Below are 15,145 nucleotides of genomic sequence, written 5' to 3' on the forward strand. Positions count from 1 at the left end.
CATGAATTGTTCTGGATTGGGCACTTTTGTGGGAAAAGATTTGCAGTTTGCTTTGAAGAACAAAAGTTTTCACAGAAGTTATTTTTAGAATATAAAATATTTTTCCCCTCTCTTCCAGTGTCATGAAATAGATTAACTTTTAGGATTTTTCTGTTTGTTTTTAAAGTTGAAGAAAATCCAGAAAGTACCATTTCTGTGAGCCAAGTTAAACAAGAACCCAAAGAACCAGCATTGTCTATGGAAGCAAAAAAAACTGTGGACTATAAGAAATTATCTGCTACATAAATTATTGAAGCTTTTCAGAATTTACAACTCTGGTGACTTCTGATGTCTTAGAAAGGAAGGTGAATATAGTCAAAGCGTGGCATTGAGATAATTGGACTGAAGACCAGTTTGATGAGAAGCTTTTATTTAAAACTGATATATTTGTTGCCAGTTCCATATTTTTACCTTCCTTAAGAGATGTTTTACTCTTCTTATTTTGTATAATTTTTATGCTCTTTGATTATCTAATAAGGCCAGTATTTCAAAAGCTGTTCTGAATTTATCCACAGTAATATAGTCTGAACACAAATAGTTTACTTAACTTATCCTTGGAAATATTCAATTTTGGTTATTACAAAACAGAAAAGAACAACAGCAACAAAAACATTGTGTGAATGTATGTTTGTATGTGTGTATGTATATCATGAATTTTTTTTTTAAGTTCTGAAAAAGAACTTGTTCTCTCCTTAAAGTTGTGAAGAAATTGTTAATTGCCAGACAGGTAAGAAAATGTTTATAATCTATCTCATTAAGAAAGATGAAGTATTAGATTTTACATCATAACACAAAGTCCAGCAGCTACATCTGTGGAAACTGTGCAGTTGCATTTTAGCCTCTTCCCTTCCAATTTTTGTACTTTTAACTACAAACCAGTAGTATACTAATGGTTATCTAATAGAAATTTAAAGTGTCTTGGTAAGTACTGAGAATTTTTACTTGAATTAATCAGATAAGCAACAGAAATCAACATATGTAGCATGGATTTGTGCTATATTGGAAGTAAAACACTATAGGCAGAAAGATGTAGAAATTAAGAGAATTGAAAAAGAATAATAGAATTCCTTGGTGTTTACAGATAATTTGGAAAACTTTTTGATGACAGCAGAGGATTTTTTCCCCCTTATTTTGTAATGAAGATCCAGCACTGGTTAAAAAATAATTTGATTTGTAGTTACATTTTTCTATGCCAGAGCTCTTACTGAATTGATGATATTAGGATTTCTAGTATTTTAAGGTAAGTATTTATAGTTTAAAATTTAGTTTATATTTAAAACTTTAAAACATCTGATCTGGGATTTTTTTGTTAAGTAAGTATATTAACTTCAAATACCAAATTACTACTAAGCAGTATATTGATTATAAGCATCTGTTGTCTAAAGATTGGTACTAGGCTGGACATGGTGGCTCACACCTGTAATCACAATACTTTGGGAGGCTGAGGTGGGTAGATAACCTGAGGTCAGGAGTTCGAGACCAGCCTGGCCAACGTGGTGAAACCCTGTTTCTACTAAAAATACAAAAATTAGCTGGGTGTGGTGGTGGGCACCTGTAATCCCAGCTACTTGGGAGGCTAAGGCAGGAGAATCGCTTGAACACCGGAGGCGGAGGTTGCAATGAGCCGAGATCGCGCCATTGCACTCCAGCCTGGGTGACAAGAGAAAAACTCCATCTCAAAAAAAAAAAAAAGATTGGTAAACTAGAAATATCAACTATAATTGTCAGGAAATTAACCTAAAGGCTTTTGTTTCTCCAGAGACCATTTGTGGGTATATTTTATATTTTAAAAATAAAGATTTTAAATGGATATCAATGTTTAATATTCAAAACATGCACAATATAATATCAAATTTAACCTTAATACTTTACATGAATATGAGTCACTTTTGGCTTTTCTAAGTCCAGCCTCCCATTCTTAATTGACTTGGTTTCAGGTACATGACATGTATCTAAATATAAAGTACTGTTATAGTAGAGGTAGGTGGAATTCTAATATTCCCTGCTCTTTAGATTTATATTTTATTTAATATAAAGTTTATTATTTATACCCTTTTTAATGCAAAGCTAATATTTAGTTATATGTATGATTTTTAATAAAAATTACTTTACTTTTTCCTATGAATTTAAAACATTTGATGTTGGCATTTTATACAGGCAGGTTGCCAAATTTAATTATGTTACACTAAGTTAAACACAGCACTTAATTACCTCAAATCCAGATTTCTCTTAATCTGTGTGTACATAAAAGGAATAAGTCCAAATTAATTTATAGTTTAGTGTTGCACTATAGGTAATATTCTTTTGTTATTTCTAGTTTTTATGGAATCCTTTTCTTTCAAGATTCTAAATAATAAATCGTTACGTCTCAATAGTGGTAATAGTGGTAATGGTTTATTATTAGCTGTTTCACCAATTGAACTACATTCTTTTGGAGACATTCCTTTCTTTTTTGATGTTGATTTGCAAAGGAGAAATGCTTGTTAATATACAAACTCTAGTCAGTTACCTGTGAGGATGAGATGTGTCAGAGGACTCAGACTTTGGTATAGTTAGAAAAATAATATTTTTCTCACTTGATTCTGTGTGAATGTCTCTTCTGATACTGTTTTTTAATCAGAAAGTTACAGAGCAACTTTCCCACAAACAAACCAATAAAACAAAACCCCACAAAAACCAAGAGCATGAAGAAAAGTTTAAATCCCTAATTATATACTCTTTTGGTTTTTAGGTAGAAACTGGAGCTATCAATATTTTCATGTAAGTATTTCAAGGAGTAGCTCTTTAAAAATGGTTTCTAAATTAGATTTTAAAAATTCATTGTCATCTAAATGCATGTTTAGTCACAATGTATCAGTATTGTGTTTAAAGGTGCTCAGCATCACTTTTTGAAAACTATGTTTACATATTTAAAATGTTTAATTATTTTGAAATGTATAGGGTATTAAATACAAGCTTCTAAAATTTTCAGTATCTATATTGGCTTTCTCTAACAGCTCTACAGCAAAGTTTGACATGTTTTTTGTGTGTGTCATGTATTGTAAGTTGTAATATCTGTAGGAGTGAGTTGGACATTCTAAATTAGCAGTAAAAAATTCACAATTACAGCTCAGCTTGTTTATTCATTATAGTTTCCACATTTCCAACTTCCAAGTGAACTTTATATATACTACAGTGAATTATAGATAAATACAGCCATGGTGGACCTTTCCCTCAATAGTGATTTTTTGTACAAACAGTTAGTATAATTAAAAGGAAAAGCTTTTATATTTTATGCAAGGTAAATGTTTCCTAAATGTCACAAAAGTGATAGAAAACATAGCTTTTGGGATCTGGTCCTGCATTAGAGTTTCTAATTCTGAGACCCACCAGCTTGTGTTTCATCTTCTTTATATCCTGTCAGAATACATACTTAATCATGTGGGTATGAGAAAGATGTTGTTTAACTTGTACCAGGTTTAAAAAAAGAGGTTTAAAAAATGTCTGTGCGTATATATATATATATATATATATATATATATATATATATAGCAACTTGATGTATAGTGTCCTTGTTACCATGTATTTTTTTCATTAAAAATCCTGCTTTTTTTTTATACTTGTTAGTTTTCTTTTTATATTTTTCTTAGAGATAGTGGCAATTTTGTTCATCTTGAAGATGCTGAATAAACACTTGAATACCCGAGAATTTTGGCCAGAGATTTATGTCCAATTTGGAACCTGAAAGTTTTAAGCATAACTACAAGTAACTCCTGTTAGCATTACATTTTGGGGAGACATATATGCATTTAATACCCTGCAACTCAGCCAAGCATCAACATTTTAAAACAATGTGTGTAATAAGTAATTCTCCACGCCCACCCACCCCCAGCCCCCCGATGTTTTGGCACCATGACATTTTCAAGTATAGCTTTATATTTTAGGAGTAATGACAAAGTATGTGATCAAAAGAGAAGGGATTATTAATTTTTTCCCTCTTTGCTTTTTTTTAAACTTTATTCCACTCTGTACCTATTTTTGAGGACCTTGAAAATCTTAATCTCTCCAGAAGGGATACTGCATTGGTTCTTCTCCATCAGCTGGCTTAGACATCAAACATCTTAAATGATACACTGTTTTAATATCTAAAAATCTGTCATTCTACTTAATTAACTTAGTCATAAGGACAAAGCCTTAGTATATTTTTGCCACATACATGTTATGTATAAATTTTACTGTTGAATAATACAAGTATTCATTGCTGACTGAATTCTTAAAACTTTGGGAATAGAAAAAACACATTTATTAATGGATGCTAAAGTGATTCCTGAGAAAAATAATGTGTATGGTTAATATGGAAAACCTTTGGTAATGTGATTTGGGTATAAGAATACTAAAACCAGAGTACAGGGTGTGAATCATGTACCAGGAGGGATTTTATTTTTAAATATCTTTATTGAGGTATAATTGAAATACAATAAACTGTACATATTTAAAGTACCCAATATGATAAGTTTTGTCATATGCATACAGCCATGAAATCATCAGCATAAGCAAGGTAATGAACATATTCATCACTCTCAAAGTTTCATAGTACCTCTTTGTGATCCCTTCTTACTTAATCCTCCTTGCCACCCCACCATCACCAGACCACTGATCTGCTTTCTTTATGATCAGTTTGCTACAAATGAAATCACATAATATGAACCTTTTTTGGTCTAGCTTTTGTCACTTAGCATAGTAATTTTGTGATTTGTCTATATTGTTGCATTTATGAATAAATCATTTATCTGCTGCTGAGTAGAACTGCATTTTATGAATATATCAATTTGTTTATTCTTTTGATGATGGACATTAATAGTTCTAGGCTATTATGAATAAAGTTTCCATGAACATCTATGTACAAGTCTTTGTACAGACTTATGCTTTCATTTCTCTTGGGTAAACATCTAGGAGTAGAATGCCTGGGTCATATGTTAGGTATATATTTAACTTTTTAACCAACTGCCAAAAGATTTTCCAAAGTAGTTGTAACAATTTATATTCCCACCAACAGTGTATGAAAGTTCCAGCTTCTCTATATCCTAGCCAACACTTGTTATGAACAGTTTTTAGGTTTTAGAGATTTTAATAGGTGGGTAGTAGTATCTTACTGTGGTTTTAATTTCCATTTCTCTAATAACCACTATTGAGCATCTTTTCATGTTGTATTTGCCATCTTTATCTCTATATCTTCTTTATTGATGTGTCTGAATCTTTTGCCCACTTTTTTTTTTTTTTTTTAAGACCAGGTCTTGCTCTGTCACCCAGGCTGGAGTGTAGTGGTGTGATCTCAGGTCACTGCAACCTCCACCTCCCAGGCTCAAGCAACTCTCCTGCCTCAGCCTCCCTAGTAGATAGGATTACAGTCATGCGCACCATGCCTGGCTAATTTTTTGTAGAGACGGGGTTTCACCATGTTACCCAGGCTAGTCTCAAACTCCTGGGCTCAAGCAATCCACCCACCTTGGCCTCCCACAGTGCTGGGATTACAGGCATGAGCCATCGTGCCCAGCCTTGCCCACTTTTATTTTTGTTTTCTTATTTGTTTTTTATTCTTTTTTTTTAACCACAGCCAGCATCATAGCTCACCCACTTTTAAATTGTTTTCTTTTTTTTTTTTTTTTTTTTTTTTTTGAGATGCAGTTTCACTCTTGTCGCCCAGGCTAGTGTGCAATGGCATGATCTTGGCTCACTGCAGCCTCCAACTCCCAGGTTCATACAATTCTCCTGCCTCAGCCTCCCGAGTAGCTGGGATTACAGGTGCCCACCACCACACCTGGCTAATTTTTGTATTATTAGTAGAGACGAGGTTTCACCATGTTGGCCAGGCTGCTCTCGAACTCCTGATCTCAGGTGATCCACTCACCTTGGCCCCCCAAAGTGCTGGGATTACAGGCATGTGCCACCACACCCAGCTAATTTTTGTATTTTTTAGTAGAGATGGGGTTTCACCATGTTGGCCAGGCTGGTCTCCGAACTCCTGATCTCAGGTAATCTGCCCGCCTCCCTAAGTGCTGGTGCTGGGATTACAGGCGTGAGCCACCACTCCCAGCTCCACCTGCACTTTCAACTGACTACAAATCTGAGAGGTTCTCACATCCCCTTTTAGGTTTGATAATTTGCTAGAACAACTCACAGAACTCAGGAAAGTACTATACTTACAACCACAGTTTTATTAGAAAGGATACAAACCAGAAATGACCAAATGAACAGATACGTAAGATGAGGTCTGTGAGGGTCCTGAATGCAGAACCTCTGTGCCCTCTCGTAGAATCAGGACATGTTATTCACTTTTCATATCAATGTATTCACCAACCAGGAAGATCTACTGAGTTTCATGTCCAGAGTTTTCAGGGGGTTTTATTACATAGGCATGATTGGTTCAATCATTGGCCCATGATTGGACTAATTCTTCAGTCCTCCTGTCTTTCCTGGAGGACAGAAGGCTGAGTTGATATCATTGGCTCAAAGCCCCAACCCAACCCTCTAATTAGATGTTTGGTCTTTATAGCATGACTAGCTCCCATCCTGAAGCTATCTAGGGACCCACTATGTGTCATCTCATTGCATATACTCAGGTGTGATTCAAGGCGCTCATGAATAACAAATACACTCCTAGTACTTGGGAAATTCCAAGATTCACTATCAGGAACCACAGATAAAGGAAAGTCAAATTATTTATTATATAGCAGTGTAATGCATAGTTTTGTTGTTTTAATTGTGGACACCTACTTTAGTCTGAGATTTGTTACCATGTCACACTATACTAGGTTCATCTCATTTTTCTTCAAGGCTATTGTGTGAAGTGCAACATGTTTTATATATTAAGTGTATCAACTCTCTGTTACTTTTCCTGGTTTGTAGTTTGCCTTTTAATTTTGATGACTTCTGTGCTTAAACAATTCTCCTCCAACTAGATAGAAGATAAACATTTATCTAAAATTTCCTATAGCTTTCTTATGTGTTGTTTTTAGTATAGTGAAATTATTTTGTTGCAGAGGATAAGTTTAAGTAGATATTTTTTCAATTAACCAACTCTCCCAATATGATGGGTTTTTTCCCCCTCTCTTCCAATAGAAACCTAACTCCCAACACAATGGAATGAATTTTTCACTTTTTTAATTCACCTTTGAAAGGAGTAGGCAGGTTGTAAGGAATTGGAGATTTTGTGTCCCATTTTTTTTAGATGAAGAGGTCCAAAGTGGTAAATAATTTTCCCCAGGTCATCTGGAAAGGGCAGAATTGTCTGACTCCAAAGTCTTAAAAAGACGTTTACTTAGTGTCACTATTGCGTCACATGTAATTACCCAATGACTTCAAATGTACCTGACATTATCAAATAATTTGTTCTGATATGAAAATTGAAAATTAAATGGAACACAGAAGAAAATATAGTTATGACATTAGACAAGACAATGACATTAAGTTTAAATCTGGATCGCCAAACACAAGGTAAGTTTCCCTTGAGTTGATCAATTTAAGTTAAATCAAGTCTCTATTACTGAATCATACAAAAATGACCAAAAATGTTCACCAAACTTAGGGGCATATGTTTATGATGATCCAACTTGTAGATTTTGTGGTTCACATGAAAATCCACTTTAGGAAGTTCAAAGAGCCACATCAAAAAGATAGCCATCTTCCAGAGCAGCTAAAATTCAGATACCCCTGTATAATAAAGAACTATTCAGAGACACATATCATGCATTAAGATAAAGAACTGGCCGGGCGCGGTGGCTCATGCCTGTAATCCCAACACTTTGGGAGGCCGAGGCGGGTGGATCACCTGAGATGAGGAGTTCAAGACCAGCCTGACCAATATGGTGAAATCCTGTCTCTACTAAAAATACAAAAACTGGCCGGGCGTCATGGCATGCGCCTGTAATCCCAGCTACTCAGGAGGCTGAGACAGGAGAATTGCTTGAACCCAGGAGGCGGAGGTTGCAGTGAGCCAAGATCACACCACTGCACTCCAGCCTGGGCGACAGAGCGAGACTCCGTCTTTAAAAAAAAAAAAAAAAAAGGACTGAAATAAGTGGGTTCACATAGGAACACCAAATTGAAGGTCACAGGGAAGATGCTGATTTGTGATCATGTGGCTTCACACAGGCAAATCCATGCATTGTGCTTTAGGGTGAGCAGCATGGATTCATTTGTTTGAATGATGTCGATGGTTAATGAATTTTAGGAGGAACTCTGAGGAAGCCAGCTAGTTGCTAATACAAATTTCAGTGGAATAATATCTTTTCCCTTTTTTCTCCTCTTAACTCTCAGTGCCAGGGCACTTTGGGAAACATTTAGACTTAAAACATTAGAATATTAAACTGAAAAGACAGAGCAAAATAATTCAAATTACAGCAGTTGAATCGAGTAGTTAAAATTCAGAGATATCAAGCCAATGAATAAGACAGCATTTGTGAAGTACTACGTTAGCAATATTGGGATGAGTTGAAGAACTTCTAAAAAGGTGAACTAAGGACGTAAGATTTTTGAGAAGTTGAATCAAATCCAGAGTGGCATGCAAGGAAAACCTTGTGTGTTTTTACTGCTGTACTAATAGTTAAAACTAGCTATTGTATTCTCCAGGGCAGATATGAAATGGCCTTCAGTCCTAGAAAACTAGCAGAGCAGTTTATCAGCTGGTATGCCATGACAGCATTGAAGCGTGGTTTGTAGAAAAACCTGTTATATATACTATACATCATTTGAGTTTTGTATTTTTCTCATAAGATAGGATTTGTTACTTTATTTCAAAGTGTATTCACATGTTGCTCAATTTTTCTTCACAAAATTTCTGTGGATAGAGCCAAGTGTAAATATTATTTTCTTATTTAATAGCTGAAGACACTTAATTGTAGGGAATAAGTGACATGTTTATTAGTATTACATGTATAAATAATTAGGAGTTGAAGTTATATAGACATAAGAACTTGCAGATAGTATCAGACAGCTACTACTAATACTTAGGTGAGTAATTTTTATATTTGAGATTAAGCCACAACCATTATATCTTAGATTCTTAAATTACTTGGCCTAGATTTGAAATAATTCTGCTCATAATAAAGGATTGAAGACATTTATTTTAAGAGAAAATGAGCAGAAATGCACAGAATGACTTGTTATAAAAAGGGAATTATTTTAACTTCTGAAATATTGCATGGACTTTGTACATAGACATGAAATTACACAGCAAATGACAATATATTTAATGATTTATTTTTTCAGTAACATGTAAAACCTACAATACAGCCAGGGGCGGTGGCTCACGCCTGTAATTCCAGCACTTTGGGAGGCCAAGGCGGGCGGATCACGAGGTTAGGAGATGGAGACCATCCTGGCTAACACGGTGAAACCCCGTCTCTAGTAAAAAAAAAAAAAAAAAAAATACAAAAAAATTATCCGGGCATGGTGGCGGGCACCTGTAGTCGCAGCTACTTGGGAGGCTGAGGCAGGAGAATGGCATGAATCCGGGAGGCGGAGCTTGCAGTGAGTCGAGATTGCGCCACTGCACTCCAGCCTGGGCGACAGAGTGAGACTCCGTCTCAAAAAAAAAAAAAAAAAAAAACCTACAATACAAACCTCAGTGTTTCAAAAAGTTGTTTAAAAAGAATTACCTAGCCAGGCATGGTGGCGGGCGCCTGTAATCCCAGCTACTGAGGAGGCTGAGGCAGAGAATTGCTTGAACCCGGGAGGCGGAGGTTGCAGTGAGCCGAGATCGCACCACTGCACTCCAGCCTGGGCAACAGAGCGAGACTGCATCTCAACAACAACAAAAAGAATTACCTAATGACTTGCTACCCAGCAACATGCACTTTCCTTTTAACTTGCCTACCCTTCCCTAAGCTTAGCAGCATTTGGACTGTCAACAATGCTGTAAAGTAAAGATGTTCTTCATTTAACATATATAACTTACATAGTTCCATAAAATAATAGATAACTTCTCCGTTTTTTAGAAAAAAATTCAGAGTCTCACTCTGTCTCCCAGTCTGGAGTGCAGTGGGGCGATCATGGCTCGCTGCAGCCTCAAATTCCTAAAGTCAAGCTATCCTCTCACCTTAACCTGCTTTTTATTTATTTTATTTTTTACGTATATTTTCTGAGATGGAGTCTCGCTCTGTTGCCCAGCCTGGAGTGCAGTGGTGCGGTCATGGCTCACTGCAACCTCCGCCTCCTGGGTTCAAGTGATTCTCCTGCCTCAGCCTCCCGAGTAGCTGGGATTACAGGCATGTGCCACCGCACCCGACTAATTTTGTATTTTTATTAGAGTCGGAATTTCACCATATTGGCCAGGCTGGTCTCGAACTCCTGACCTCAGGTGATCTGCCCACTTCGGTCTCCCGAAGTGCTGAGATTACAGGCAGGAGCCACTGCGCCCGGCCCTTAACCTGCTTTTTAAAATTTTGTGTAGAGACAGGTCTCTCACTGTGTTGCCCAGGCTGGCATCCAACTCCTGGCCTCAGGTGATCCTCCCACCTTGACCTCCCAAAGTGCAGGGATTACAGGTGTCAGCCACCATGCCCAGCTAGATAACATTTTTTGAGTGCCAGATGCTTTATAACTTAATCCTCACATCTGGCCTGAATATTATTACCCCAATTTTATATAAAAGCAAATAAATTCAAAAAGATTAAATACCTTGCCCAAGATCATATATCTAGAAAGCCAGGAACCTAGGATCTGAACCCGAGACTTTTTATTCCATAGACCATGTTATAACCAGATTTAACTCTAACAATTCATGAACTATTAAAATGCATCATAAGGAAGAATACATTATGTATTTATTTATAGACTGAATCTTGCTCTGTCACCTAGGCTGGAGTGCAGTGGCGTGATCTTGGCTCACTGCAACCTCCATCTCCTATGTTCAAGCGACTCTCGTGCCTCAGCCTCCCAAGTAGCTGGAATTACAGGCGCCTGCCCCTGCGCCTGGCTAATTTTTGTATTTTTAGTAGAGACAGGGTTTCACCATGTTGGCCAGGCTGGCTTGAACTCCTGACCTCAAGTGATCTGCCTGCCTCAGCCTCCCAAAGTGTTGGGATTACAGGTGTGAGCCACTGCGCCTGGCCAATAATTTTTTTTTTAATGTTTGTAGAGACATGGGTCTCCCTATGTTGCCCAGGCTGTCCTTGAGCTACCGGCCTGAAGGGATCCTCCCACCTCAGCCTCCCACAGTGTTGGAATTATAAGCTACCGCATGGGCTGCAAATTTTATGTTATGTATTTTACAATTAAAAAAAAATTTCCTACCCAGAGATCATGCAGATATGATCTGCTAAATCTTTACGGTTTTGCCTTTCTTATTAACGGTCTACTGTCTACTTGGAGTGGTTTCCTGCATATGGTTTTGCATGGCAGGTGGGCCCCAAAATCGGGGCTCTGCCTGGGGAGGTTCTTGGCTTTGCCTAGGAAGGAATTCAAGGGCCACCCTATAGGCATTGTGTGAAAAGTAGCAGCTCAGGGGCAGTTCTGAAGTCACATTTATACTCACTTTTAATTACATGCAAATTAAGGGGCAGGTTAGTCAGAAATTTCTAGAAAAAGGGTGGTAAATTCCAGGTCATTGCCATGGAATGAGTAACTGTCATGGCACTGTTGGCTGTGTTTTATGGAGAAGTGTTTTCGCCTCTTCCCTGTGTCAGCCAGTCTTCAATCTGGTCCAGAGTTGAGTCCCGCCTTCTACTTTAGTGTCAGAGGGGGTCAAATTTCTTTCTCTATTTTTTTCCCACATGGAGAGTAGTTTTATCACATGGAGAGCTTGGGCTCTCATGTCTAGGAGCTCAAGCCTGGGACAGTGGTGTGCATCCTTTGAATCATCATTCTAGCCCTGCTCTGGATCTACAAAAAATTCCTGGAGCCATCCACATACTCTCTGATTTCTCCTTTTGTTCATCATTTATGGCCTAGAAAAGCTATGCAGGAATCCAATGGCAAAGTAGACTATAAGGATGCAGACATAAATGGATTACCAACAAAAGGGCCAACAGACATCTCTGATAAAAAGACTAAAGTGATTTTCCTAGAGGATTTCATCATTTTAAAAATGGACCTGATTGCCGGCATGGTGGCTCACACCTGTAATCCCAGCACTTCAGAAGTGTATTAGTTCGTTTTCATGCTGCTGATAAAGACATACCTGAAACTAGGCAATATATAAGAAAAAGAGGTTTAATGGACTTACCCTGGGGAGGCCTCACAATTATGGCAGAAGGCAAGGAGGAGCAAGTCACATCTTATTTGGATGGTGGCAGGCAAAAAGAGAGAGCTTGTGCAAGGAAATTCCCGTTTTTTTAAACCATCAGATCTGGTGAGACTTATTTACTATCACGAGAATAGCTCAGGAAAGACCCACCCCCATGATTCAATTACCTCCCACTGGATTCCCCCCACAACATGTGGGAATTGTGGGAGTTACCATTCAAGATGAGATTTGGGTGGGGACACAGCCAAACCATATCAAGGGAAGCCAAGGCAGGTGATCACTTGAGGCCAGAAGTTCGAGACCAACCTGGCCAGCATGATGAGACCCCATCTCTACAAAAAATACAAAAATTAATGGATGTAGTGCGGCACACCTGTGGTCCCAGTAACTCGGGAGGCTGAGGTGGGAGGATTGCTTGAGCCCAGGAGGCCAAGGTTGCAGTGAGCAGAGATCACACCACTGCACTTCCGTCTGGGCAACAGAGCAAGACCCTGTTTCAAAAAAAAAAAAAAAAAAAGGACTTGATAATATGAAGCACCTTGTTTGTAATCCTCTCTGACCTTTTTCTCTGAGACCAGAATTCAGGATTGATGGATTAGATATTTACCTGATACTAATCATGAAATTGATGGAATCCATATTTAAAGTGTTGTTAGTTATATTTAATGACTTCACTCCTGAATTCCCTTTTCATTAAGGTAGCTTTCATTTCTATTATTGCTGTTTTAGTAATATTATTAAATAGAAGGTTTGTGCCAGTAGATGCTCTTGTTACTAAATCAGTACTTTAAAATCTTTGGTCCTCTGTCATTTGTGCCTATGAATTTGACTACTGTTTGCTCTAATTTATTTGGGCTCTTCTAATTGGAGTGGAGCAGAGTTTTACTGTGAAACAGTGCAGTGAGTCTGTGCAGTGAAATGAAGGGTGGAGTTTTGGGGGGTGGTAATGATGTGAAACATAAAGATATAATTACCATCTAACACAATGAAGCCACTTGTCCATAAGAGTAGTAATTATTAAACTTTTACTATTTTTATTTTATTTTTTTTTTAATTTTTGAGACAGTGTCTTGCTTTGCCACCCAGGCTATAGTGGAACAAACACAGCTCGCTACAGCCTTTACCTCCTCAACTCAAGTGATCCTCCTGCCTCAGCCTCTTGAGTAGCTGGATATGCCACTGCACCTGGCTACTTTTTATATTTTTTGTAGAGGCAGGGTTTCAACATGTTGCCCAGGCTGGTTTGGAACTCCTGGACTTAAGTGATCCTCCTGCCTTGACCTCCTAAAGTGCTGGGATTACGCAGGTGAGCCACCAAGCCCTGTTGAAACATCTTCTATATAAATGTCTAATGTAATTACAAAATTCTAATTCTTGTTGCATTCTTTTTATCCCTACAAATGTATTAAACATTCGGTTTTAAAAAGTTTTAAGGCCAGGTGCAGTGGTTCACACCTGTAATCCTAGTACTTTGGGAGGCTGAGGTGGGTGGATCACTTGAGGTCAGGAGTTTGAGACCAGGCTGGCCAATATGGTGAAACCCCATCTCTACTAAAAAATACAAAAATTAGTCAGGCATGGTGGTGCGTGCCTATAGTCCCAGCTACTCAGGAGGCTGAGGCAGAAGAATTGCTTGAACCTGGGAGGCAGAGGTTGCAGTGAGCTGAGATTGCACCACTGTACTCCAGCCTGGGTGACAGAGCAAGACGCCGTCTAAAAAAAAAAAAAAAGTTTTAAGTATACAGTTCATTGATATTCAGTACATTCACACTGTTGTGCAACCATCACCACTATCCACTTCCTGAATTTTTTCATCCTAAACTGAAACTCTTTATGCATTAAACAATAACTCCCCATTCTACCTCCACCCCAGTGGTTCTCTTTTTCTAAATAAAGTGATCTTTCAATATCCACTATAACATCAGAAATCTTTTAATAGGATAAGAGTGGATAACTGCAAACACAAAAAGATATAATTGGGAAACTAGGCTTTTGTGATGTTATTTTTATTTCTAAAAAATATTCAAATAAGGACATGTCCTTTACAGAGGCTGTTTGATTTCTCATTGGGAAACTTAAAAAACAAGTTTAAAAAAAACAATTTTTTTCTTAAATGTTCTATCCTTTTCCTTCTAAATGTACACTGAAACAAGCTTTTGGTTCATTCATATTTATTTTTCTTACAATTTCAACTTTTCTTTTCTTTTTACAACACAGGCTCTCACTCTGTTGCCCAGACTGGAGTCCAGTGGCGTGATCATCGCTCACCGCAGCCTCTACCTCCTGGACTCAAGGGATCTTCCACCTCATCTTCCTGAGTAGCTGAGACTACAGATGTGTACCACCATACCCAGCTAAATTTCTTATTTTTTATTTTTTGTAGAGACAGAGTCTCACTATGTTGCCCAGGCTGGTTTCAAACTCCTGAACTCAAGCTGTCTTCCCAAAGTGCTGGGATGACAGGCTTGAGCCACCAAGGCCTGCCCTCAACTTTTATTTCAGATTCAGGTGGTACAAGTGCAGTTTGTTACGTAGGTATATCGAGTGATACTGAGGTTTGGGATACGAATGATCTGGTCCCACAGGAAGTGAGCATAGTTCCCAATAGTTTTTCAGCATTTTCCCCTATCCCACCCTCCCCACTCTAGTAGACTCCAGTGTCTATTGTTGCCATCTTTATGTCAACGAGTACCCAATGTTTAGCTCCCACTTATAAATGACAACATGCATTATTTGGTGTTCTATGTTAATTCACTTAGGATAATGGTGTCCAGCTGCATCCATGTTGCTACAAAGGACATGATTTCCTTCTTTTTTATGGCTATGTAGTATTCCATTGTATATATGTACCACATTTTCTTTATCCAGTCCACCGTGATGGGC

The 15,145-nt window shown here is 37.8% G+C and overlaps 1 protein-coding gene and 1 pseudogene across 17 annotated transcripts in view, besides 1 other annotated feature; both read left to right on the forward strand.

The window, feature by feature from the left end:
• Positions 1–4,924, forward strand: part of CARF (calcium responsive transcription factor) — a 75,989-nt gene extending 71,065 nt beyond the window's left edge. For 16 of the 17 annotated variants that reach the window (NR_148033.2, NR_136330.3, NR_136331.3 and 13 more), the window contains one exon: positions 167–4,924. Coding sequence is in view for 12 of the 17 variants with exons in the window: in NM_001322428.3 (NP_001309357.1) it covers positions 167–285 (119 nt within the window). In the remaining 5 variants the exon portion in view is untranslated. The remainder of the gene's footprint in view (positions 1–166) is intronic. The other variant, XR_007081622.1, reaches the window with a different exon arrangement.
• Positions 5,296–5,521: a silencer, noted in NCBI's record as "fragment chr2:203853358-203853583 (GRCh37/hg19 assembly coordinates)". NCBI's record gives its function as "represses an EF-1alpha promoter that drives an FKBP-Casp9 reporter gene in an ReSE screen in K562 erythroleukemia cells {active_cell/tissue: K562}" and the evidence as "EXISTENCE:reporter gene assay evidence [ECO:0000049][PMID:32094911]".
• C18orf32P4 (C18orf32 pseudogene 4) lies at positions 11,823–13,682 on the forward strand (annotated as a pseudogene).

Source organism: Homo sapiens, chromosome 2, assembly GCF_000001405.40.
Source record: "Homo sapiens chromosome 2, GRCh38.p14 Primary Assembly".
In the NCBI taxonomy this organism is placed as follows: domain Eukaryota; kingdom Metazoa; phylum Chordata; class Mammalia; order Primates; family Hominidae; genus Homo; species Homo sapiens.